Source organism: Homo sapiens, chromosome 17 (assembly GCF_000001405.40).
Source record: "Homo sapiens chromosome 17, GRCh38.p14 Primary Assembly".
Lineage (NCBI taxonomy): Eukaryota > Metazoa > Chordata > Mammalia > Primates > Hominidae > Homo > Homo sapiens.
The window spans coordinates 28946510-28969957 of NC_000017.11; the positions used below are offsets into that span (position 1 = coordinate 28946510).

Here is a 23448-nt window from a genome sequence, read left to right on the forward strand (position 1 = left end):
TGTTACCAAGCCCGGGAGGTAAAGTTTGCCTAGAACCACTTTTGGAACACTTGTACTGGATTCCGTTCACAGTGAGGCAGACTGGCAAGGAATACTAGAGACTGAAAAAAGACTTATCCCACAGAGCTTTGGATAGAGAACCACAGCAGCACTGCAATTAAGACCTACAGCATTTGCAAAATTTAAATTTCACTTTTTCTTTAAATTTTGTAGAGATGGAGTCTTGCTATGTTGCCTAGACTGGTCTTGAACTCCTGGCCTCAGGCGATCCTCCCACCTTGGCCCCTTTAAGTGCTGGGATTACAGGCATGAGCCACCATACTCGGCTTCAACCTTACTCTTGTACTTTCCGTATGGAAGGAAAATTATCATTATCATGCCTACCTAAATAATTCAGTCTTAGCCAGTTTAAAAGGGAAGCCAGAGGAAATATAACCTTACTCTCACATGATAAAATTAAGCAGTAATAGGACAATTTTTTTTTTTTCTCCTGAGATGGGGTCTTACTCTGTCACCTAGGCTGGGGTGCAGTAGTGTGATCTCGGCTCACTACAACCTCTGCTGCCTGGGTTCAAGTGATTCTCCTGCCTCAGCCTCCTGAGTAGCTGGAACTACAGGCTCGTGCCACCACACCCGGCTAATTTTGTATTTTTAGTAGAGACGGAGTTTCACTATGTTGGCCAGGCTGGTCTCGAACTCCTGACCTCGTGATCCACCCTCCTCGGCCTCCCAAAGTGCTGGGATTACAGGCGTGAGCCACAGCACCCGGCTGGGACAAATTCATGAAAACACATTCAAGAATAAAAATGTTCTGAGACATTAAATACTTGATCTAACTACTCTGATTGAGTTAATAAAATACTTCACTCTCCAGCCTGGCCAACGTGGTGAAACCCTGTCTCTACTAAAAATACAAAAATTAGCTGGGTGTGGTGGCGGGCACCTATAATCCCAGCTACTTGGGAGGCTGAGGCAGAAGAATCCGTTGAACCTGGGAGGTGGAGGTTGCAATAAGCCGAGATTGCACCACTGCACTCCAGCCTGGGTGACAAAGCGAAGACGCCTGTCTCAGAAAAAAACAAACAAACAAAAAACAACAACAAAAAAAACTTCACTCTTGGTGGAAAGAGTGTGGCTTCAGACGCAGAAAAGTGAGATAAGCCTCACTAAATGAAATTCGTCTAGGGAATACCTACTTAAAAGACTTCCTGCCTTTGCACCAATATCTACAATGCTTTGTGATTTAGATAATAACTCAGATAAGTCAATGGTACATTCAGTATTGACATCTTCAAAGGGAGAATTGGAGATGTGAAACAAGCACTACTTCATTTACACATTCACAAATCTCTGATTACCAGTTCCCATTCAATGCCTCAAAAAAAAAAAAAATTTCAATGAAATGCACAGTCTGGGCAAGTCTGAATCTCACCAACAGCTAAAGAGTCCCTCCTTCTTTCTCCTTTCATCTAAAGTGGAAACTGTTAATTGTTACAACTTGACAAGACTTTAGACTCGTCTAATTAAAAAATTCAGAGGTTAGGTTTTAGAGTTTAAAAGCCCAATCTCAGGCAAAACAGACAGCACACTTTTCCCATGCCTGAGGTTTCTAATAAACAATTTCAGCTTTATCAAATAAGAGAGCTTATCAAATTCTCACTCAACATGCATGTCAGCAATCATGGTTAACACCAATTTCATCCTAGGAGTAGGACGTAAGCCCACATTTTAAATCAAGAAGTCTACAACTCAGTCCTGGTATACATACCAAACAAACACACTAAAAAAATGTAAGCAACTGGGAATAACTGGTAAGCAACACAACGTATATTCAGGCACAAATTTCTCCTAAGAATAGCAAAAGAAATGTGACCAGAAATATCTTCTCCAGGTGGATTACACCTTATAGGAAGTAAAGGCTAAAAACCACAGACCCTTAGTCACTTCATAATAAAAATTTTAAAGCCAGCAGCAAAACTTCCTCTACGATAATCATTTTTGTCCCAGCAATTTTACAAGCTGGGATGGGGTGCCCTCCTGGGCAAAAGTATCTTGGGAATGGTAATGGGAGTTTCCTACATAACTTCTGACCATAAACTTAATTTGCTCAGTATCAGTCATCTGTCTAATAAGTGTTCCCAAACCTGCAATTAGTACAAATATACAGTAGACACTACTCCACAAACCGAGAGATGGAACGTGAATGGAACTGTTGAGAGACCTTCGGTGAAATTTCACTTAAAACAAAATAAAAAGAGGGCTAAAAAAGGCAACATCAAACAACTGGTGGGAACACAGAACAGCCCCCTTTTCCTCTCTCCAGTCTGGCTCCTCTCTCAAACCCCTGCCTCAGTCAACTGTTGCAGAACAACAGAACGAGACCCAGTAGAACAAGACGAAATCTGGGTTTGCTGCCGCAGATGTGGGATTTTTGTGGAGGGCAGAGGTGATTTCGGCCGGCAGAAGATGGAGTTTAAACTCTTCTTTGCCGGATTGTCCTGGGCTGAGCCGCTGAGGAGGATCACGCAGCGGGCGATCAACTCAGGTCCCTCCCTCTCGGTTCGGTCTCTCCCCTCCTCTCATGTCCAGTAAGGGGGAAAAAGCGTACGGCTTTCCAGCTCTCAGCTCCTTAAAAATGCCTTTCTAGTGCCACCGCACACAATCCTCCCTCTGGCAGCAAAGAATTTTGCAGCGAAGGGCTCGCCGATCCGGAGCGGAGAAATGAAATCGGCGCCCAAGGGCAATTTTAATTGTCTAACCCGGCCCGATTTCCTAAGAGGCAGCGGCGCCGGGAGGGAGGAGGGAAGAGGGAGGAGGAAGGAAGGCAGCTCTGAGAGGCAACAGGGGGCAAGCGGAGGCAGAGAAAGGGGATCAAAGCGGCGAGATCCCAGACGGGGCCCCCGAGGAGCTTCTGCAGAAAGGACTCTGGGGCTGTCCCCACCGTTCCCCCGAGAGACGTTTGCAAATCATATATGCAGCCAAAATGGCGCTGAGAATAAAAATATAATTTAAAGGCAGGTCGCCATATTGTAAACAGAGAGGCAAAGAAGAGGCGGACTCGAGAGACACCCTCCACGATTTTTTCTACAGCCACAAGCGCCCGGTTGCCGGGGTCTGGACCAGGGCAACTCAGGTGGCCGAGGGCTCCACGCACCCACCCCGAGGAGATCCCGGCCGGGCAGGAGCCCCGAGGGCAGCGGGCGCGCGGGCAGGCAAGCGGCACTGGGCCCGGAGCTCCTCCCCTTCCTCCCCCGCCACTGCCGGCTGTCCCCGGCCGGCTCTGTCCCGGCTCCCCAGCGACTTCCAATCCCATATGGGGTTCTCTTCACTCGTCCCAACCCCCACCTCGGGGTCCGGACCCACCGCTGCTCCTCCCCGCTAAACTGCCAGAACCCGGCGGACACCTGGGGGCGGGGAGGTGCTCGCCCCGGCAGCTGCAGAAAGTCAGCTAGCGGCTGCAAGCGCCCGTTATTTCGGCAGTCAGGGGCAGGCCGGGTGAAGGAATGCGCAGAGAAGGGTCCGCCAAGAAGCTCCAAAAGGGTCCCCAGACCTTACCAGCACTGGAGGTGGAAGGCAGCCGGGCAGTGGTCGCAGCACAGGAGATCTCCACCTTCCTTGCAGCTATCGCAGCTGTCGTGGTTGGTGGCCCTGCCGCTTCTCCGGGGCTCCTTCTCAGGCTTCCGACTGCGCTTTTCTGCCTCGTCCGTCTTGGGGGGAGCCAGCAGAGCTTGGATTTGCTGCACACACATACAAACGGCGTGTGTGCACACTCGGAGCTCCCGGGCGGTCCGTCGCCCCCCCGGCGCGGTTTCTCCGTCACCCACCCCTCTCCCCCCTTTTGTCCTTCTTCCTCCCATCCAGGCTGCTCCCAGAATCTCTCAGCCCCCGGAACCAGGGGGAGCCCACCCTAACCGCGTTCCTGCAGCACAACAACGAGAACAGCTTCTTCCAAATGGGGAGGATCAAGGGTAGGGGGATGGGAAGAGGGTGCGCGGTTCCCTTCTTGCCACTTCCTTGTATGGACAGTGGGGGACTCCAAAGACCCGCTCGGGAGAGGCCCAAAGCCCGGTACCCGGACGTGCTGGGGGAAGCACAAAGGGGCCAACAAGAAGGGGGTGGGGAGGCCTGCCGGTGCAACGAGATGGAGTGGGCTGGCGCCTCGGGAGAGCGAATCGAGGGCGGCGGGTAGGTGAAACTGCTGCAAACGTCCTCGGAGGCTGAGCTCAGCCCCCTAAATTGCAAAGAGGGGAGGGAGAGGCTAGGTGAGGAAGAATCCCCCTCCCTCGGCCATCTAGGCGCTTCGAGTTTAGGACTGGCTTTGTGGGGCGGAGGGCGGAGGTTCCCTCCCGGCGCTGGAGGAAGGAGATGAGGAGGGCCACTCTTACCTCCATCAGCCCCCCTGATGTGTCCAAGTCGTACACGATCGTCTTGGTCTCCATTTTCTCCCACATTCATCCACCTCCCGGGCTGGGTGCTCTCTGCTCCGGCCCCCCCAACCCCGGGGGGAGGGGGGAGGTGAGGGGAGGGGGCGCTCCTGACCCCGGCCCCGCTTTTTTCCCAATACGGGTCCCGACTTCCTCGCCCTGGCTCCCCCCCACCCCCCGGCCCCCAGTCCCCGGGACGACAGCGTCCTCCCGACGGGCCGCGAGGGGGGAGCGGCCCCTCAGTCCCGGCCCGGCTGCTGGCTGCACAGTGGGTCCCGGCTCCGGGGGTCAGGCCTCGGCGGGGCCTAGTCCCACAGGCTAAAGCCGGCACTGGCGACAGCCGGTCCGGCCGGGAAGGCTGGCGGGCGCTGCCATCCCGGGGCTGGGGGTATCGGAGGGGGGGTGAGAGGTTACGTGAGGTTGTGGTACGTGAGGTGACTGGGGGGAGGGTGATGGGGGGTGGTCCCCGGGCTCCGCCTCTCGCCGCCGCCGCCGTCTGCGTCCCGGCTGCCGCGCACTTGGCGCAAACTTACCGCGAGCGCCCGCAAAGCCACCCGCGCAGGCGCCCCGGGATCGGCGCTCGCCGCGCGCAACCGCAGTGACAGCCGGCGGCCTGGCTCCCGCGCAGCCGCGGTGAGGGAGTACCCCCCAGCGCGCAGCCGCGCTGGCATTCGTCTGGAGGACCGAAGCCCCACCTTTCTGCCCTGCGCCAGCGCACTGAGACAAAAGGGCGGGACCTGAGGTCTCGCGCAGGCGCTTGAGAAAGCTTGTAGGGGTCAAGGCGCAGCCGCAGGAAGCTAGGGACTGTTCATCCATTGGTGTTTGTGTGCAAACTAAGACGACTCTGTTCTGCGCAGGCGTGTTGGGGGTGCTCCCCCTTCCTCTCCATAACACAGACGCCTCCCGCGCAGGCGTATTGCCTTCCGCAGGCCCTCACAAGAAAGCTGCTCCTTTCGCCATTTTGGTAATGGGATATGGGCTATCATGCCCTTGGAGTCCTCAGGCATGAACAGAAAGGAGCAAGGTGTGGTGTTGGATGGAGCTGGTCGCCTGTCGGTGACAGCAGTATTCCTAGGGATGTTGTACTTGACCGTTTGGTTCTACCATCGGGTGTGGCTGGACCAGGCCACCATATTGGTAAAGAGAAAAGCCATTTGAGACAGAAAATGACGCTTTTGGAGGCGTGTGGGATGACTGTGGTTCCTAATTCTCTCCCGCTCCTGACAGATAATTTTATCAGTTAATTGTATCCTCAGCATCCCTGCCTTGCGTGGTGGTGGCACTGGAGAGTTCCGCCTGCCCGTTACCACCCTCTCTTCACCACTGTCCCTGAGATCTGCTCTTCAAGAGGAAGCCTAAAGTGGAGAGTTTGTAATCCTGACAACGCCCAGCTACCTGCGTACCCCGGACTCCAACTCCCAGTTTGCAACGCCAAAGGGTCTAAAGGGCGAACGGGGGCGCATTGCATCCTGGGAGCAAGAATCGCGATAGGTCTGATGGATTGTGGGAACTGTAGTTCCATGTGCGTGCGATGCACTCTATGGTAGGATAGACCCGGGGAAGAGTCATTTGCCGGCCAGGAAGGGATACTTTTGAGAGCGTCAGTGCTGCATGCCGGGATTTGTAGTCTGAGGGCCCGCCTCGCATTCTGGGCGGGGATTCATGCTCCTTTTCAGGGCGCCCGCTCCTCCCCTTGGTATTGCCGTCAGAGATGGGCGGTTGGTTATTGCTGCCTGATGGTGGATGAAGCAGTGGAAAAGAGAATTGTATCGTTGTGCTTGACACTAGGGGTTTAGTTGGAATTGTTGCTTCGTAGCTGTGCTCGGCCCACTTTTAATGTTAAGGGACACAGCATTCTCAGAGTCGTCAAACTAGCAAGGGTTTAGAGACCATCTGATTTAATCCCCTCTTTTCCAGATGCACAGGGAGGCGCAGTGATTTGCCTAGGTCACATAGTGCATTTATGGCAGACCTAAGAATTGGATTTCTTGATTCTCAAGCCAGACACTGTCCATTACACTATGTCGACTGTGTCTAAGGAATTACTATGCTTGCTTTGGGGACAGTAAGGAGGATGAGTTAGACAGAGTGGGGATGTCAGTGTATGGAGTCTTAGGTTTCTGTTTTCCTGACTTTTCGCTTTTCTGATGACCCTCTTGGTGCCTGGAAAGAATGATAAGGTCATGGATGGTGGGGTGGAGAATGTCATGTGAATTGGCTGCCCTCTGCTTTCTACCATTCTGAGCCAACAATAAACTTCAGGAGCTGTGGACCAGAGATGTGGCCATCAGAGAGGGGAGGGCTGAGCTAGATTGTTTGTATGAAAGAGGCAAGATTTTCTATCTCCTATGGCTATATTTTATGTCACAGGCTCTCAGAGTTTAGAACCTCATGTGCCCTCTCTCTTTGGCTTTTTTTCCTACTGCTCAGGGCCCAGCTGTGCTGCTGTGTTAACCTGGAGGCATTATGGAACAGGTAAGTAAGCCATTGGCATCCATCCACTGGACAAGGCTTTGCTTTGATCAACACCATCAATTGCAGCTGATAATAGGAACTATGGGCTAATGAGGGAAATAAGACTTGGCTCTGTTGACAAGAGCCAGGGAAACTTCACACCTCTTCCTCTTGGAACTTGCAGGATGAGGTTAGGCCAGTGGGGCCAAGGAATGCTCCCACCTTGGAGAGCTCCCGCCCTGACAGTTGAGGGGGGATTGAGGGGCGAGCAGGTGGGATACAGACGCCTTTGGAAGTGACCTCTTGTGGCTAATCTAGGCACTGCACTCTGCATGGACAAGAGCTTCTCCATCCTTCAAGGTGGCTTGTGCTAGAGCCAGGGGTAGGCAGCATGAGTGGTCAAGACTTCCCTTTTGGAAGACTGTAGAAGCAGAAGGTGCTGGTTGCTGCTATTATTTCTTTCATGGATTTTTCTCTACTGGTTTCTGAGCTCCCATAATTTCCTGTTGCCTGCCTCTTGCTGTCACTCTTGGAGAGCAGCAATGCAGGGCACACCTCTCAGCATGGAATGTGCATACTGGGGGCCAACGCTGGGCACTTTCCATCTTTGTAGGTGCTGGGGCCCATAGGGAAGGGGCAAACTTGAGCACATCCTCCCAGCCACCTTTTTCCAGAGCCCATGGTTAGGGCCTTTGCCTAACTTAGGATCCAAGCCCGTAAGCTGCATTACCACTGCTCCTGACAATCTAAGGGTTTTGTAAGGCCAAGCCAGATTAGGGCTTCATGTTTTGGGGATCAGTCTCTGTTTCCTATTCTAATTTCCCAAGCCTTGCTTACTTAGAAATAAGGGGAAGGAGAGATGCATCAGACTTCCTGAGCCTAGTTAGCATTGAGAAGGGCATCAGTGGCGTTGAGAAGGGATTTGGGAGTGTGCCAGCCTGTAGTTCTGGACCTGGCAAAGAGGAGGAAATAAGGCATTGGGTGGATGTGCAGTGGGGTTCCTGGGCTCCCACATCCCTGTAACATCAGCCATTGGGGCCTCTGATTTTGCCTGCTATCTGTTGCACTGTCCCTTTTGGTACAGGGGACCCTGTTCAACTGCATGCAATAATTTCTTTTAAAATAAAATCTGAGCACTTTGGGTGGCTGAGGTGGGAGGATCACTTGAGCCCAGGAGTTGGAGACCAGCCTGGGCAACATAGTAAGACCCCATCTCTACAATAATTTTTTTTTAAATTAGCCATGTGTGGTGGCCTGCATCTATAGTCTTAACTATTCAGGAGGCTGAGGTGGATCACTTGAGCCTTGGAGGTTGAGGCTGCAGTGAACCGTGATCCAGTCACTGCATTCCACCCTGGTTGACAGAGTGAGACCCTATCTCAAAAACAGTAGTAATAAAATAAAATCTGAAGATGATTGATTGGTGGGTCTAGCATGCCTTCTGGTCCTGAAGTCCATATCCCATTTATCTCCCACCTCCCGTCCCTCCAAGAAAGCATCATTCACCTGGCCATTGCTTTTTTTTTTTTTTTTTTTTTTTTTTCCAAAAACACCATTTTAATAAGGAAACAACAGAAATAAAAGATTGTTCTCTGGCTGGAGCCCAGACCCCATATAATACATTACATGTACAAAGTGGCTTTCAGCCAGCTCCTGGGCGTCTCCCTGGGGCTCTCCTACCACCTGTTCCATGCCAAATTCCTGGGTCCTTGGACCTCTGCTCCTCTCCAGAATATGCCCACCCCCTCCCCTTATCCCATAACACAGTGGTCAAGAGGAGAGCCTGACAAGTGGCTGGAATTGGAGGAGGGACTATTAGGGTGAAGATGTTTGCAACAGCTAAATAAACATCGGAGGAAAGTCTCCCTTTCCTCAGGGTATAGGGTGGTCAGTGGAAAATGGCGTGTCCTGCTTTGGTGTGGAGCATGAGTGCCCAGGGAAGCCCAACCTGAGGTGGGGGTAGGGTCCCCCTGAACCCCTTAGGATCTCCTAGAATTACTGCCTCCACTGGGACAGGGCAGGAGGCAGAACTGTCCAGAACTTTAGAGAACTAGAGACCTCCCAAGAGGCTGATGTTGGCATGCCAGGACTACCCAGAGGTCACCGTTGAGAGGAGTTTTGGCCATTGGTGATGGCGCTGTGAGGAGTACCCTGGTGCAGTTCCCACCATGGTCAAGTTAATCCTGCTGCAGGTTGCCATGCCAGGGCGGGATGGTGGTCATGTGGAGAAAGGTACTCCTGCTCTGCTAGTGTGTTCCAGGCTGGTCCAGGGCATGAGGAGGCTCAGGATGCTGGCTGTTGATGCTTGTGCTCCAGCTATGTTCTTCCCACAGGTAGATGCCCCCTGACATGGGCCCAATGAAGGGCCCCAAGTGGGCAATGACACCAAGAAAATAGGCCATGGTGGGCATCGCAGGCGGGGAAGGGCACAACTTCTTGAGGGCTTGGTGGCATCTCCTCCTAGGTGGTATATACAGGAGGTGGAGGGACAGCAGGAAGCAAGGAGCCTTGCTGCTGGACTGTGGTGCAAGTCTGAGTTGACTTCCCTAGACTGCCCCCACCTAGATGGAGACTTCATATTCTCTCGTCTCCTGCAAAGGAAAGAGACTGCTGGGAGTTGGAAACTTGTATTAGGTTTGCCAGGCCATAATTCACCTTCCCTAGGAAAAGGGAAAAAGTGAGAGGGCTTGGCAGGACCCTCAGGGTTATCTGCCCAAAGAAGCAAAGAACTGGGTCTTGGATAGGGTGGCAAGGCTGGCATGGTTACTTACTCCAGTCTCGTAAGTTGGATTGTCAAACGCTGACTCTATGGTAATGCGGTTGTAGGGGCGGGGGCGGGGGCGGGGCAGCTGCAGGGAGCTTTTTCCCTGGAGCCTGTGGGGCAGAGAAGCCTGCAAGTCAGGAGCACTGGGTAGGAGTGAGGTATGCAGGTATGCAGAGCAGAAAGAGAAGCCAGACTCACCTGGAGAAGTAGAAGTATACACCTCCTACCAACAACACCATCGCCACCAGTGGCAAGAAGATGGCAGCTGCAATGTGGGCAGCATCCAGGGTGCTGGAGGCAGCAGGTGCCTTGGCAACTGAAGACACAGAGGGTGTGACTGGAGCAGAGGTCTCTGTCACCTGGAGCCCATATTCTCTCACCTCTGCCCAAGGGCATCTGACTACCAGCTCCCTCTAGCTGGCTGGGTGTAGGGAAGGAGCTTTTTAACCTGCTAGGCCCAAACCTCTCTCTTTCTCTGCCCTCCCTCCTTGGGAAGCCCATGACCTGGGAGCCGTGAGAACCAGGACCAGGGAGACCACTTCTCTGGCCTCAAGGGTGGAGACTTACCATCCAGGCTGCGACTGTTGTAGAACCCATCCAGAGAGGCTGGAACAAAAGGGGAGGGCCAAGGGCAGTGAGTGAGCCCAATGGGCCAAACCACTAAGGCAGGGAGAGGAGGTAGTGGGATGATCATGGGAAGGATTTGTCCAAGGAGAGGCCACTCCAGCATTTGTCTTGGTGATGCCAGGTCAGAAGGATCTGGCAGAGACTGGGGAGACCAAGGGTAACATGAAGGTGGCATGGGCAGGTGGTTCTGGTTCTAAACATTGGACATCTTTGCCAGAGCAGCTCTATGGGCCAGGGAGGGTTTTGAGGGGTGACAGGGCACTCACCAGCCCTACAGATGGGTGGGGGGTCACTCCAATGCGAGGGGTGCCCAGGCACACACTTGATGCTGGCCTGGCCCTTCAGCACATAGCCAGGGGCACACGAGAAGTGGATGGTGGCCCCTGCTGGGTGTAGCTGCTTCTCAGGACTTCGGGCACCATTCTCAGGGGCACTGAGACCATGGCATGGCTTGAGCTGTTCCACTACAAAGCAGGCAGAGTGCAGTGAGGGTGTCATGCCCTTGGCCTCCAGGGCAGCATCTTTTATCTCCAGCTAGAGGTTTTCCCTCCTACTCAATTGACACTTACGGAGACATTTAGGGGCCCGGTCACTCCACTTGGGGCTGCCAGCCTGGCGATCATGGCAGGTGAGGATGGAGCTGCCCATCAGCACAAAACCCTGGTCACAGATATATTGCACGGTGGCCCCCACGGGAAACTTGGGGCTGGATATGAGGCGTCGGCTGTGCTCCACATCTCCAGGATCGTGGCAGGAAGTCACTATGGGTAGGGGGTGATGGGGAGAAGTAGCCCAAGGAGAACTAAGCAGAGGCCAATCCACCCTGGCTTTGTTCCAGGCCAGCTAACTTCTTCATGTCGTATGGGTCTACCCCCTACGTATCTGTCCCTACCATTATGCTAGTGTGTCCCCCCATTTGTCCCCTTCCCATCTATTAGGTTCGATAAAAACTGATTGGCCATCTACCAGGAATGAAATACTTAGAGTACGTGGCTGATAACCCCATGAAAAGTATCATCCCCATTTCACAGATGAGGAAACTGAGGCTATAAGAGGTGAAGGAACTTTGAAGATACTAGCTAATAACAGCTACAGTCTGGTTCAGAATCCAGGAGAGAGGTTTGGAGTTTGTGTTGGGAAGGGGAGCGTGGGGAACAGGTATACTCACCCCTCTGGCATGAGGGCAGGTCCTCACTCCAAGTTAGGTCCCACTGGCACATGAGGACACTGGATCCCACTACCTGGTAGCCAGGGTAGCACTGGTAAGTGACCACGGTGCCGTGCACTAGCTCAGGCTGCGATGGGCTCTTCCAGCCATTGGGGATCTCAGGCAGCTCCGGACATGTGTCATTGCGGGGCACCTCTGGGGGCACAGAGGCACAAGATGCAGGCCCTCGGCCAGCACCAAAGTGACTGTCCCCCTCACCTTGAGGGCACTCTGGCTCCTGCTAGTTTGTCCTGGACCTAGACTGTCCTGGGCGGGCTCAGGGATCCATTCCTCCCTGCTCAAGGGCCCCTCCTTGACTGCCTGACATTGCTCTGTCTCCTAGATTCCAGGGTTAGCATTTAAGCTTTGGCCTTACTTCCAAAAGCACCTTGACCAGTTCCTTAGGCCTGAGAGATGGGGCCAGGTAGGGTGAGGGAAATCGTCACTTCTATGAAAGATTGTCAGAAAGATAGAAGCCAGCACCTTTCCTTAGTTCCCCCATTTTTGTTTGAAAGTTGTTCTGGCCAGGTGCAGTGGCTCACACCTGTAATGCCAGCACTTTGGGAGGCTGAGGTGGGCAGATCACTTGAAGCCAGGAGTTCGAGACCAGCCAGGCCAACATGGCAAAATCCGGTCTCCACTAAAAATAAAAAAATTAGCCAGGCGTGGTGGCATGTGCCTATAATCCCAGCTACTCAGGAGGATGAGGCACGAGAATCGCTTGAGCCCAGGAGGTGGAGGTTGCAATGAACAGAGATCACACCATGGTCTGGGTGACAGAGGGAAACTGTCTCAGAAAAAAAAAAAAAGGAAGAAAAAGAAAGTTGTTCTGCTGCCTACCCAAACCCCTCTTGCCACTATAGAATTCTGGCTCTCCCTCAGGGCAGATGGAGAACAGGACTAGCTTCCTCCAGGTGATCCCTGGTGCTTTTCCAGCTTACTCTTGTCTGAGACAGCATTCAGGCACCTCACTGCCCTAGCCTCTTTGGCTTGCCATGGCTTGCTGTCTGCACTCTGAGTGGGGTAGGGACAAGCTCACCAAAGAAGTGGATGACGAAGCCCTGCTGGTAGCCCAGCACTGAGGTCCCGGGGTCCGACTGGAACTGAATGGTGACATCAGCCATGGAGGTAAAGAGCTTGAAGTGGCTACGGGGCCCTGAGTACTGGCCCAGAACCCGGGCCGTCAGGTCATCCCCATCATAGAAGGTAAGCACATCACCAGGGCCTATGCGCAGCCTGTGAAGGAGGAGCGTCAGGGCAGAGCCGGCCTGGGGGCCCGAGGATGGGCTGGACAAGGGATATCCCCAGACCTCAGGAGTTGGCTCGGCCTGACCCGGTAGGCACTCACACTCGGATGTCCAGCATGATGCGCTTGTCCTCTTCCACATGCACACCCCAGATACAATCCTGCCCACGACCGTAGGGCTCTGGCCAGTTGGGAGAGAGTACCACGCCAGCCGAGTCTGTGATCTCCCCGCTGCACACGGCTGGAAGGCAGAGGAGGCCCAGAAGGGTCTTTTCAAGCTTACCATGGTGTTGCTTACCATCTGCCCGCAGGAGTGCCCACAAATTGCTGGGACCCCCCACCTCCTCCTTGGAGGAAGCCTGAACCACGCATATCACAGGGCCCCTGTGGCCCCGGGCTCTGCTGCTATTCTCCTGGTATGACCCTGCCTTTTGCCCGGTAGGCCCATCCACTGGTGTCTACTGACCTCGGCAGGCTGGCTCTGTCTCATTCCACTGGGGGTCGTGGGGGTCAACACACTCGATGATGATGGAGCCCTGCTCCAGGGTGTAGCCAGGGTCGCAGCTGAACTCCACAGTGGTACCCACAGGGTAGGTGGGTGTGCTGCTGCTGAAGTTACCGTATTTGACAAAGGGCTCATAGCAATGGCCCTGCTGGAAGGCTGTAAACCACAGGTCCCAGCCCAGCTCAGCCTTGACTGGTATTAAACACAGTGGGCAAGCATCCCCCTACTTCCCTCCCCAGAGCCTTTCTTTTCCTGGGTACGAATGACAAATATATGTCCTGGGGTTGGAGCAGGAATGTGATGGAGGAGGGACAGCCAAGAGCATCCATCCCTATTATGCTCAGGAGGCCATCTTGATTACCATCCTGTTCCCACTGCCTGGTTTTGTGCTTAGTACACAGAAGGTACTCCATACATGTTTTTTGAATGAATTAATCAATGCATGCATGCATAAATGGTTCTAGAATGTCTCTTACAGCAATTCTTTCTTAAGGGTTGAGGCCTTTTTTGCTTTTCAAAATCTGGAGAATTTATTCCCTTGGACCATAGGGCCTGGGTCCAGGCAGAGGTTTCCTGCAAAGCTGTGGTAGGGATCCCGGACCCAAAGAGAGGGGCAGGGAAAGGGGGCCTAAGTACTGAGTGAGCAGGGGCTGACTTGGAAGGAGTGACAGCATGGAGGCAGAGAGGGGTAGGGTGTGGGAGAAAGACCCTAGGCCCGAGCCCATCCCCGTGGACCCGCCACCCCCAGTGAGGCCCCAGCAGGCTCACCCTCATAGCGCAGGGCCATGCCTGCAGCTGCCCCGCTGCTGTCAGTACTGAGCTCAACAAAGAAGTGTTTGCCAGAGCTGAGCAGGCCCTCAATGGGCAGGTATTCCACCTCATAGGAATCATACACTGGTGGGGCCTCCACGTTGTCCCCATTGCGAATGATGAGCCTGAACCAGGAGAGTGGCAGCTATGTAGGCTGGTGGCTGACCCAGATGGGGTGTGGCCCCAGGCTTGGGTAGCGTCCCTCCAGCAGGGTATTACCAGGCCAGGCACTCCCATTCCACTAGGACAGCCCCTCACCTGTCATCATCCTCTGCCAGGGAAACCTTCTCAAAGTGCAGGTGTAGCCGCTGGCCCTCAGGAGCCTCAAGCAGCCAGTGACAGGTGAGGTTGTTGCTGTAGTTGCCCGGGAAGCCTGGAGAGACGATGCGGCCGGTGGTGGCATTGCGGATCACTCCGCCGCAAGCAGCTGTTAAGACCAGGACAGGACGTAGGCTAGGCCCCTGCCTGAACCCAGGCAGCCTAACATGCCTTCCTCCCTATCCCAGCCCTATATCCTCTGCTTGGAGCAGCGGGGACCTTGCCTCCCTGCCATCTTGGCCCTCATCGTCCTGAAGGTCAACCTTTTAGCCCTGTGAACCTGCATCTCCAGGCAGCCTGAGCTCCAGAATCCTGCCGCCTAACCTTTCACACCCCTGGGACTGACCAGGGTAACTCTCTTGACTGTGGGTAGATGTATCACTGCCTGGTTGTGTGCCCAGGTAAGTCACTTTCCCTCTCTGCTGACTTCTCTAGAAGGCCGACTCTCCCTAGGTAGACTTTACTAAAGCCCTTACTGTGGGCTTCAACCTTCTTGGATACATCTGCTACTTCTACCTCATGCCACTTTCCTAAAATCAGTTGTTTGGGTATGTCCCTTAACTAGGACCCCCTGGAGCAGGAACCAGGTCTTTCCAGGCCAGGCACAGAGTTGGTGTTCAGCGTTGGTTGAATAAAATGAGTGAATGAATGTAAAAAGGGGTTAGCACTAGATCCGGGCGGCAAACACCTGATGTGCATGCCATCCGCCCCGGCCTCACTACCACTGCCGTTCCTGGGCTGACTGACCTTTCTAGTGCTGACCCTACTGGCTTGGGGCTGTCCTCTCTTTCTAAGGAGAGACTGAACAGTTTGCCTATGGCTATCTGTGAGGATTGCTGGGTTACTTGGCCACAAACTCCTGGCGGTTATGTGAGGCCAGAGAGGGGTCCTCAGGCAAGAGGAGTATGGCTGGTTCCAGGCAGTGCTTTCCTCTCCTGGACACATAGCTCTGACCTACCCAACTCTCAGAGACCAGGCTGCCATGACCAATACACAGGACCTTTGTCTCCAAATGCTCAAGGCAGCAGAATATTGTAACCTAGTAAAGCTCCTGGGGGGCTGGGGCAAGTTTCTTCTCTGCAGAAAGGACAGACCTGCCTCAGCTTGGTCTCAGAATGGAACTGCCCTTCAAATCTGATCATGCCCCATCCTTTGCTGAAAATTGCTTAGTGGCTCCCCATTACCCTCAGGATAGAGTTAAAGCTGAAAATGGTGTTCAAGCCCTTTATGAATCCACCTCTCTCTAGACTCAGCTTCAGTCCCCTCTCCCCGCATACCCTCTGCTTCAGGCACACTTCACTGTGTGCTCACTATCTTGTGCTATTTCATGCCTGCACATCTCTGCATATGCAGTTCCAGGAACCCACCCCACTTTCCCAAACTAATATTTCTGAAATCCTTCCATGCTGTCTCCTTGGGAAGCCTTGCTTGCCTCCTCTCTCATCTTGGAGTAGCTCTCCATCCCTTGGGCTCCTCCACCACTCTGCCTTTACTCCTATTGTAGCATCCTCTGCACTGAGCTGCTTGCCAGCCTCCCCGCTAGATCCTCGAGGGCTGAGAAAGCATCTGTGTTATTCAACTCTGGTTGTGCCTGGCACCCAGGAAGAATTTATAGAATGAAATAAGATTCATGGCTGGGTATGGTGGCTCAAGTCTGTAATCCCAGCACTTTGGGAGGCCGAGGCAGGTGGATCACCTGAGGTCAAGAGTTCGAGATCAGACTGGCCAACATGGTGAAACCCCATCTCTACTAAAAATACAAAAAAATTAGCTGGGTATGGTGGCATGCACCTGTAACCCCAGCTACTCTGGAGGGTGAGGCAGAAGAATCGCTTGAACCCGGGAGGTGGAGGTTGCAGTGAGCGGACATCGTGCCACTGCACTCCAGCCTGGGTGACAGAGGGAGACTCCATCTCAAAAAAAAAAAAAAAAAAAGATTCAAAAGCCTAAGCCCATACCCACTAAAAAGAAAAAGCCCGGCCAGGCACGGTGGCTCACGCCTGTAATCCCAGCACTTTGGGAGGCTGAGGTGGGTGGATCACGAGGTCAGGAGATCAAGACCATCTTGGCTAACATGGTGAAACCCCATCTCTACTAAAAATACAAAAAATTAGCTGGGAGTGGTGGCGGGCGCCTGTAGTCCCAGCTACTCGGGAGGCTGAGGCAGGAGAATGGCGTGAACCTGGGAGGCAGAGCTTGCAGTGAGCCGAGATAGCGCCACTGCAGTCTGGCCTGGGTGAAAGAGCGAGACTCCGTCTCGAAGAAAAAAAAAAAAAAAAAGCCCAAGTTGCTTTTCATACTGCAAACCAAACACTGAGTCTTCCTTTCTCCAACAAGCCCCTTTTCATTGGCAGCAATCCCAGACCTGATCACTCAGGACCAGACCTGGGAGTCCCCTTTCCCTTTTCCCAGTTCCCATCAGTTTCTGGAACTTCCCTCTGCTTCATTCCCCAAATCACAATCTAAGTTCAAACTGTCTTGCCTGGCTGGCCTCCCAGTCATCTCCTGAGGAATTCTAAGGCCCTCCCTTCTCATAAGCTTCAACAGCTCCTCAGCCTGTATCTTGCCCTGACACTCAAGGCCCTTCCATTGCCACATGTCTCAGGCTTCAGCCAAACCTGGCTGTCTTCTGTGTCCCTAAACACCCTCACCTGCCTGCCTCTATGTCCCTGCCCACGTTGTTCTCTCCATTTAAATGTCAAACCTGCAGTGCCTCCTCCCCTAGGAAGCCTCCTAAATGTCCAGCTAAGAATGATTGCGCCCTTGCCTCCCAGGTCACTTTATGTCTTTTCATTGGTGCTTTTTACTTCTTCCCCTGGAAATTGGTGACCTCTGTGCTTTCTCCTTTCTCCCTTTCCTGGAAATGTGGGTTCTTTGAGGGCAGAGTCCCTGTTTAATTCAGCTGTTTGTACCTGTGGTGCCTTCATCTGGTAGATGCTCAATAAGTGCAGGTTGGATGAATGCCACTGAGGTGCATGGCCATTTTCTGGCTTCCTTATGAAGAGCAAATGAAAGTGGCAGAGAGCAACAGAGAGCAGGGATGAGCCCCCACCTCACTTCTCTGCTCAGCACTGAGCCCTTTCCCCTGGGCACTCACCGATGCAGACGGGCTCCTTTGAATCCCAGAAGGGCTGGGTGGCATTGAGACAGGTGAGATGCCTGGCGCCCTTCAGCTGGTAGCCAGTGGCACAATGGAAGCGGGCACTACCCCCTGGGTGGAGGCTGGTGACAGTCACATCTCCATAAGCTGGACGACGGGGAAAGTGGCAGCTCAGGAGATAGGCTGCAAACAGAGAACGGGTGACACTGTGTATGTGTGCAGGGTGGGGGCGGGAGCTGGGCCATTGGTTGGGGGAGGTCTGCCTCAGTCTGCCTGGAGGTGTCATTTGGGGCCAGAGGAAGCACTAGGAGTTCCAAAACAACTCCAATCTCCTCCCTAGAAGGTTACCAGTGATATTTCCAGCAGCCTGGGCTGGTTAGTGGAGCAGACAGAGCTGGAAATTAGAAGGGTTAGGTTCTGGCTCAAGCTTTATGACACTTTAGGCAGGTTATTTAATCTTTGTGTGTGTGTTTCCTCATTTGTTAAATGAGGTTTAAAATCCTAGCCTACCTACAGGGTTACTGTGAGAAGAAATGATAGAGTATTTTATCTAGCTTGGTATCTCTGGTACCCAGCTGATATTATATCTTCAGGAAATGCTTATTGAATGACTCGTAGACATGAAAGCACTTGAAATAGTGAAAAACCTATACAGATGTAAAGTGTTGATACTGTTTTTCCTTTAGGGAATAAATATGAATTGCAGCAGCAAAGAGTGAAATCAGACAGTAAAGGCTTTCCCAGTATTCACTGAGAAATGCTAAAAAGCTTGATGCCAATGGCCATGGACTTCTTTTAAAACCAGAATGGTGGCCGGGCCGGTGTCTCATGCCTGTAATCCCAGCACTTTGGGAGGCCGAGGTGGGCGGATCACCTGAGGTCGGGAGTTCGAGACAAGCCTGACCAACATGGATAAACCCCGTCTCTACTAAAAATACAAAATTAGCCGGGCATGGTGGCGCATGCCTGTAATCCCAGCTACGGGGGAGGCTGAGGCAGGAGAATCGCTTGAACCCGGGAGGTGGAGGTTGTGGTGAGCTGAGATCACTCCATTGCATTCCTGCTTGGGCAACGAGAGCAAAACTCCATCTCAAAACAAACAAACAGCCGGGAGTGGTGGCTCATGCCTGTAATCCCAGCACTTTGGGAGGCCGAAGTGGGCGGATCACCTGAGGTCAGGAGGTCGAGACCAGCCTGGCCAACATGGAGAAACCCCATCTCTACTAAAAATACAAAAATCAGCCGGACGTGATGGCAGGCGCCTGTAATCCCAGCTACTCGGGAGGCTGAGGCAGGAGAATCGCTTGAACCCGGCAGGTGGAGGTTGCAGTGAGCCGAGATCGTGCCATTGCGCTCCAGCCTAGGGGACGAGAGCGAGACTTCATCTCAAAAAAACAAACTTACAAACAAACAAAATCCAGAATGGTGGTAGGCTGGGGCAAGGTGGGAGGATTGCTTGAGGCCAGGAGTTCAAGAGCAGCCTGGGCAACATAGTGAGGTCCCCATCTCTGTAAAAAATTTTTAAAAAATACCCAGGCATGGTGATGTGTACCTGTAGTCTTAGCTACTCAGGAGGCTGAAGTGGGATCGCTTGAGCCTAGGAGTTTAAGGCTGCAGTGAACTATGATTGCACCACTGCGCTCCAGCCTAGGTGACAGAGTGAGTCCCTGTTTCGAAAAACAACATCAAACAAACAAGAAAAAGATGGGGACGAGGGTAGGGAGGCAGTGCACTGCCTTCATGGAAGTTGGGGAAAGAACAAGTTGCCCTGGGAAAGCTGGTAGCTTTGGAATTGTCATACCAAATTTGACCAAATGGTGGCAGCAAATCCTACAAAACAATCTGGCATATCCCGATCCTGGGGTCAAGCTGGGGTGGTAGCTAAAAGGATCAACCCGGTGCAGTGGCTCACGCCTGTAATCCCAGCACTTTGGGAGGCTGAGGTGGACGGATGGCCTGAGGTCAAGAGTTCAAGACCAGCCTGGCCAACATGGCAAAACCCCATCTCTACTAATAAAATACAAAAATATTAGCTGGGCATGGTGGCAGGCGCCTGTTATCCCAGCTACTCGGGAGGCTGAGGCAGGAGAATCGCTTGGACCGGGGAGATGGAGGTTGCAGTGAGTCGATATCATGCCATTGCACTCCAGCCTGGGCGACAGAGTGAGACTCCATGTTCCAAAAAATAAAATAAATAAATAAAATAAAATAAAATAAAATAAAAGTGAAGATCCAGCTGGGCACGGTGGCTCACACCTGTAATCCCAGCACTTTGGGAGGCCGAGGCAGGTGGATAACAAAATCAGGAGTTCGAGACCAGCTAACATGGTAAAACCCCATCTCTACTAAAAATACAAAAAAAAAAAAAATGATCTGGGCATGGTGGCACGCGCCTGTAGTCCCAGTTACTTGGGAGGCTGAGGCAGGAGAATCGCTTGAACTCGGGAGGCAGAGGTTGCAGTGAGTGGAGATTGCGCTACTGCACTCCAGCCTGGGCGGCAGAGTGAGACTCTTTCTCAAAAAAAAGTGAAGATCCTGGCTTGCGTCTAAGAGGTGAGAGCAAAGGCCTGGAGGGGTCAAGGAGAGGCTGAGAGGCTTGTGCTACAGAGCCTGATAACCCTTGGGGTGGTAGGAAAAGTGAGGACTGTCTAGACTGAAGATCTTGGGTCTTGGGGTAGGGGGCAGCCCCACTGATGGTATCAGGTAAATGGGAGGAGAGGTCCATGCAAGGCCTCTGTTCCTGGGTGCCTTTGTGTGAATAGAAAAATGGGCCCTCTTTCTTCCCCCCCATTAAAAAGAAAAAGAAAAAGAAAAAGAGGCTGTCTCAGGGCAGACCAGGGTCCAGAAATTTGAGTTTTATGACTTTCACCTGTCCTGTTACTATGTCTGTGAAAGTGGGAGGAGAATTCCTCCTCTTCTGTCTCTCATGGGGCTCTGGAGAGAATGGTCGGTAAGTGGCTAGTTGTGCTTGGCAGGCAGTACAGGGCAGTGCTTAGCAGGTGGGCTGTGGGTCAGACTGCCTGGGTTTGAATGCAGGCTTCTTCCCTACGTGCTGTGCCACCGTGGGCAAGTTACCTAAATTCTCTGTGCCTCAGTTGCCTCATTTATCCACCCACTTTCAGTATTACATCCAAGGTTGTGGAGGTTAAGTGAGAAGACATATGTGCAGTTCCTGAACAAATGCCTAAGACATCAGCCTGCTGTTATTGTTTGTAATCTTGATTAATAATAGCACCTCACATCTACATGTACTTTCCAGATTCTAAAATGCCTTCACACTCTTCTTTCTTGATGTCTACAATATGCTTGGGAGAAAGGCAGGCAAGGTAGGGGCTATGAGCCCATTTTCAGATGAGAACAGGTTCAGAGAGACCCTGTGCCCTCATCACACAGCAAGGAAGTACTAGACCAGGAACTTGAAGCTCCTGGGCTCTGAAGCCTTCTTGCTTTCCACCACCACCCCACCTGCTTCCTCATTTGAAGTAGAAACTTGGGTTCAGGGGTCAGAGAAATCTGAGAGTAACAGACAAGCCTGCTCTGGGTGGTTGTCCAGGGCAGCCACTCACAGTGACCTGGGGAGAGGTCCCAGTCCAGGATGGGATGGAGAAAGGGGTGTGGGGCACCACACCCAGAGTGGAGGAGGTTAAGAGGTTAACTGACGCCTAGTGGGGTCTAGACCATGAGCCAGGCTCAGGCCCAGCATTTCCCCTTACATCTTCCCCTTTGAGTTCTTATCACCACTCTAGTAAGGGAGGGCCCTCGTTTCACAGATGAGGAAACTGGGCTGGAATGGGGTGGAACTGGGCTGGAACTGTAGGAGGCTGGGGGCAGACAATGAAGCCCCCAGACTCCATAGTAGTTAAAGTATCACTTCCCAGGATGAGCTTCCTCCTGTTGCCATGACAACCGTTCCCGGGGAGCCTGAACCACTGCAATCTGTTGAGTTATTTTCTCACTGGAGTCTGTTTCTGGAGCCAAGTCCAGTGCCAGGAATGCTGAGGATGCAGGAGGGGGATGTCTGTCAGGGCCGTCTGCCTCCCCACCCTGCCTGAGGCTGTGGGAGGGGAGTTGACTTGGTCTTGCGATAAGGCCCTTGTGAGGGCTCATCCTTGTGACCTCCAACATCAGCTTGGACAGCTCGAGCACAGGTGTGGGTACTAGGCCCCTCACCCCCTCTTCTGGCACCCTCTTTCTCTAGCCCACGGAGATTTGCGTGTGAGCACACGCTCCTCCTGTTCCCATCTCTGGGATCAGGGCTAATTACAGCCTATAATTAGGGGAATTACACTCATTAAGGCAAGAGCTGATCATTGACAAAAACTGGGCTGACGAGGGAGGGCTTCTGGGAGCTGAGAAGGAGGCAGGACCAGGCCAGCTCTTCCAGCCCTTCCTTGGAGGTTGCTCCCCCTTGCTGGGCCTCCAGCTCACTGCCATTCAGCCACCTTTGTCTGGCCCGACAGAGAGGAGGTCCGGAGTTTTGTGCAAAGGAATTTGCAGCAAGAGAGAAGGTTATCATGGCGTGAAATTATGCCTGCTGCCAGGGAGGATTGATGAGCCATTAGGGAGGCTAGCTGGGCCGCCTAGACGTTTCACCCTTGCCTCAGCTGGCCCCTTGCCTCTGCCAAGCCACTCTACAGCCCCATCCACTTCCAGGCTCCCTGCTGCTATGCCAGACTGCTCCAGTAGTTTGGGTGGAGGGGTGAGGGTAGGGTGAGTGCTCCTTAGGTGGGGTTCCAAGCAGCCCCATCTCCAGAGTGCTGGCTCTTCTGCCCGGCTGTGGTCCCCTGCAGGACTGCGGAAGTGGTCCATGACAATGCAAGACAATCCCTTGATTGTTCACACCAATTATTTCCGTATTAGTTCTCCCTAGTCTCAAATAGTTAACCCATGCAAAGGATCGAGCTGACTTTGTGCTCAGAGAGGGGGATGGGTAGGAGGGACACAGCTGAGACAGCGGCAAAGTCCTGAGCCCCTTTTCCTCCCTCTCCCATCCTGCCAGTCATGTAATACTGGTTTCCTTAATGAAGCATGTGCTAAGCACTTGACATGTACCATTTTGCTTAATCCTAACCATGACTTTGTGGGGTAGGTGTTTTGGTTTCATATTACAGCAGAAGGGTCAGAGAGGTCAAATGACTTGTCCAAGGTCAACAGCCAATGAGGAGATTCAAACACAGATCTGCCCATTGCCTGAGTCTGTGATTTTTTTTCATTACATCGTGCTGCTCCCTTATTTCCAGAGGTGTTCTGAGCTGATTGGGGCATGGGCCAGGTCAAGGTGGGTGAAGCAGTTCAGGAAGGGCAGTCTGGCAGCTAAGCAGATGGTCATTGTCAGATCCCTTTGACCTTCACCCTCTTGCATTTGGGGAGGGCTTCTATTGTTATTGCCTGTTTAAGTGTCTGCCTCCTCCTGAGAAAGAACTCCTTGAGGACAAGGACCTTGGTGCATCCTGACATTGCCAGTGTCCAGCACAAGCCTGGCAAAGAGCAGGTGCCTAGGAAAAGTTTGCTGAATGAATGAATGAGGGACAACGGGCACACCTAGAGGCTACCTGATCCTGAGTCAAGACCAGCTCTCTGCAGGGTGGTGGGTGGAAGAGAGAAGATCCTGGAGGTTTCAGATACGCGATACTTACCTCCAATTGTCCAGAGCTTCACTGGACATTTGTGCTATGTGTCACTAGCCCCTCTCTGCTCCTTCCCTCTAGGATGTAATTGCACAGAGACCCCCCTCCCCAGCAAGGAGGGCAGCGAGTCTGGGCTGGTTCCACCTTCAACTACCCAGGCCTTACCTTGGTAATGGAAATGGAAGGTGCCAGGGCCAGCCGGTGGCGGGAGGCTCTGGAACCTCAGGGCCGCTTGGTGGGTGGGGCTGCGGATGACTTGGCCCCGCAGCAGGAAAGACTGGTTGGCCAGGGGCAGTGGGTCAGGCCCCCCCAGGCCTTCCACAGTCACTGTCTCCCCTTCCCGGAGGCTGATATTCTGGACCTGTC

The 23448-nt window shown here is 53.0% G+C and overlaps 2 protein-coding genes and 1 long non-coding RNA gene across 10 annotated transcripts in view, besides 13 other annotated features; 1 reads left to right on the forward strand and 2 right to left on the reverse strand.

The window, feature by feature from the left end:
- Positions 1-5009, reverse strand: part of PHF12 (PHD finger protein 12) — a 46269-nt gene extending 41260 nt beyond the window's left edge. For all 3 annotated transcript variants that reach the window (NM_001033561.2, NM_001290131.2, NM_020889.3), the window contains exons 1-2: positions 4386-5009; positions 3556-3737 (exon numbers count right to left, since the gene is read on the reverse strand). In NM_001033561.2, the coding sequence (NP_001028733.1) occupies positions 3556-3737; positions 4386-4451 (248 nt within the window). In that variant the 5' untranslated portion in view covers positions 4452-5009. The remainder of the gene's footprint in view (positions 1-3555; positions 3738-4385) is intronic.
- Positions 2270-2890: an enhancer, noted in NCBI's record as "H3K27ac hESC enhancer chr17:27275797-27276417 (GRCh37/hg19 assembly coordinates)". NCBI's record gives its function as "activates a minimal SCP1, AML or CMV promoter by ChIP-STARR-seq in naive H9 embryonic stem cells {active_cell/tissue: H9 hESC(naive)}" and the evidence as "EXISTENCE:reporter gene assay evidence [ECO:0000049][PMID:30033119]".
- Positions 2711-2810: an enhancer, noted in NCBI's record as "active region_11958". NCBI's record gives its function as "activates an Ori minimal core promoter by ATAC-STARR-seq in GM12878 lymphoblastoid cells {active_cell/tissue: GM12878}" and the evidence as "EXISTENCE:reporter gene assay evidence [ECO:0000049][PMID:35858748]".
- Positions 2891-3510: an enhancer, noted in NCBI's record as "H3K27ac hESC enhancer chr17:27276418-27277037 (GRCh37/hg19 assembly coordinates)". NCBI's record gives its function as "activates a minimal SCP1, AML or CMV promoter by ChIP-STARR-seq in naive H9 embryonic stem cells {active_cell/tissue: H9 hESC(naive)}" and the evidence as "EXISTENCE:reporter gene assay evidence [ECO:0000049][PMID:30033119]".
- Positions 3041-3300: a silencer, noted in NCBI's record as "silent region_8361". NCBI's record gives its function as "represses an Ori minimal core promoter by ATAC-STARR-seq in GM12878 lymphoblastoid cells {active_cell/tissue: GM12878}" and the evidence as "EXISTENCE:reporter gene assay evidence [ECO:0000049][PMID:35858748]".
- Positions 4811-5080: a silencer, noted in NCBI's record as "silent region_8362". NCBI's record gives its function as "represses an Ori minimal core promoter by ATAC-STARR-seq in GM12878 lymphoblastoid cells {active_cell/tissue: GM12878}" and the evidence as "EXISTENCE:reporter gene assay evidence [ECO:0000049][PMID:35858748]".
- Positions 5093-23448, forward strand: part of LOC105371716 (uncharacterized) — a 64911-nt gene continuing 46555 nt past the window's right edge. For both annotated transcript variants that reach the window (XR_001752822.2, XR_007065691.1), the window contains exon 1: positions 5093-6899. This is a non-coding gene — a long non-coding RNA (uncharacterized LOC105371716). The remainder of the gene's footprint in view (positions 6900-23448) is intronic.
- Positions 5251-5300: an enhancer, noted in NCBI's record as "active region_11959". NCBI's record gives its function as "activates an Ori minimal core promoter by ATAC-STARR-seq in GM12878 lymphoblastoid cells {active_cell/tissue: GM12878}" and the evidence as "EXISTENCE:reporter gene assay evidence [ECO:0000049][PMID:35858748]".
- Positions 5401-5810: an enhancer, noted in NCBI's record as "active region_11960". NCBI's record gives its function as "activates an Ori minimal core promoter by ATAC-STARR-seq in GM12878 lymphoblastoid cells {active_cell/tissue: GM12878}" and the evidence as "EXISTENCE:reporter gene assay evidence [ECO:0000049][PMID:35858748]".
- Positions 5401-6133: a biological region, named in NCBI's record as "H3K27ac hESC enhancer GRCh37_chr17:27279039-27279660".
- Positions 5512-6133: an enhancer, noted in NCBI's record as "H3K27ac hESC enhancer chr17:27279039-27279660 (GRCh37/hg19 assembly coordinates)". NCBI's record gives its function as "activates a minimal SCP1, AML or CMV promoter by ChIP-STARR-seq in primed H9 embryonic stem cells {active_cell/tissue: H9 hESC(primed)}" and the evidence as "EXISTENCE:reporter gene assay evidence [ECO:0000049][PMID:30033119]".
- Positions 8396-23448, reverse strand: part of SEZ6 (seizure related 6 homolog) — a 51536-nt gene continuing 36483 nt past the window's right edge. For 2 of the 5 annotated variants that reach the window (NM_001290202.2, NM_178860.5), the window contains exons 4-17: positions 23248-23443; positions 17453-17638; positions 14296-14464; positions 13996-14162; positions 13189-13383; positions 12825-12963; positions 12516-12712; positions 11438-11632; positions 10839-11030; positions 10536-10733; positions 10210-10248; positions 9841-9958; positions 9650-9752; positions 8396-9485 (exon numbers count right to left, since the gene is read on the reverse strand). In NM_001290202.2, the coding sequence (NP_001277131.1) occupies positions 9453-9485; positions 9650-9752; positions 9841-9958; positions 10210-10248; positions 10536-10733; positions 10839-11030; positions 11438-11632; positions 12516-12712; positions 12825-12963; positions 13189-13383; positions 13996-14162; positions 14296-14464; positions 17453-17638; positions 23248-23443 (2127 nt within the window). In that variant the 3' untranslated portion in view covers positions 8396-9452. The remainder of the gene's footprint in view (positions 9486-9649; positions 9753-9840; positions 9959-10209; positions 10249-10535; positions 10734-10838; positions 11031-11437; positions 11633-12515; positions 12713-12824; positions 12964-13188; positions 13384-13995; positions 14163-14295; positions 14465-17452; positions 17639-23247; positions 23444-23448) is intronic. The other 3 variants (NM_001098635.2, XM_011524315.3, XM_011524317.4) reach the window with 3 other exon arrangements.
- Positions 12439-12939: an enhancer, noted in NCBI's record as "H3K4me1 hESC enhancer chr17:27285966-27286466 (GRCh37/hg19 assembly coordinates)". NCBI's record gives its function as "activates a minimal SCP1, AML or CMV promoter by ChIP-STARR-seq in primed H9 embryonic stem cells {active_cell/tissue: H9 hESC(primed)}" and the evidence as "EXISTENCE:reporter gene assay evidence [ECO:0000049][PMID:30033119]".
- Positions 12940-13440: an enhancer, noted in NCBI's record as "H3K4me1 hESC enhancer chr17:27286467-27286967 (GRCh37/hg19 assembly coordinates)". NCBI's record gives its function as "activates a minimal SCP1, AML or CMV promoter by ChIP-STARR-seq in primed H9 embryonic stem cells {active_cell/tissue: H9 hESC(primed)}" and the evidence as "EXISTENCE:reporter gene assay evidence [ECO:0000049][PMID:30033119]".
- Positions 21118-21207: an enhancer, noted in NCBI's record as "active region_11961". NCBI's record gives its function as "activates an Ori minimal core promoter by ATAC-STARR-seq in GM12878 lymphoblastoid cells {active_cell/tissue: GM12878}" and the evidence as "EXISTENCE:reporter gene assay evidence [ECO:0000049][PMID:35858748]".
- Positions 21895-22545: an enhancer, noted in NCBI's record as "OCT4-NANOG-H3K27ac-H3K4me1 hESC enhancer chr17:27295422-27296072 (GRCh37/hg19 assembly coordinates)". NCBI's record gives its function as "activates a minimal SCP1, AML or CMV promoter by ChIP-STARR-seq in primed H9 embryonic stem cells {active_cell/tissue: H9 hESC(primed)}" and the evidence as "EXISTENCE:reporter gene assay evidence [ECO:0000049][PMID:30033119]".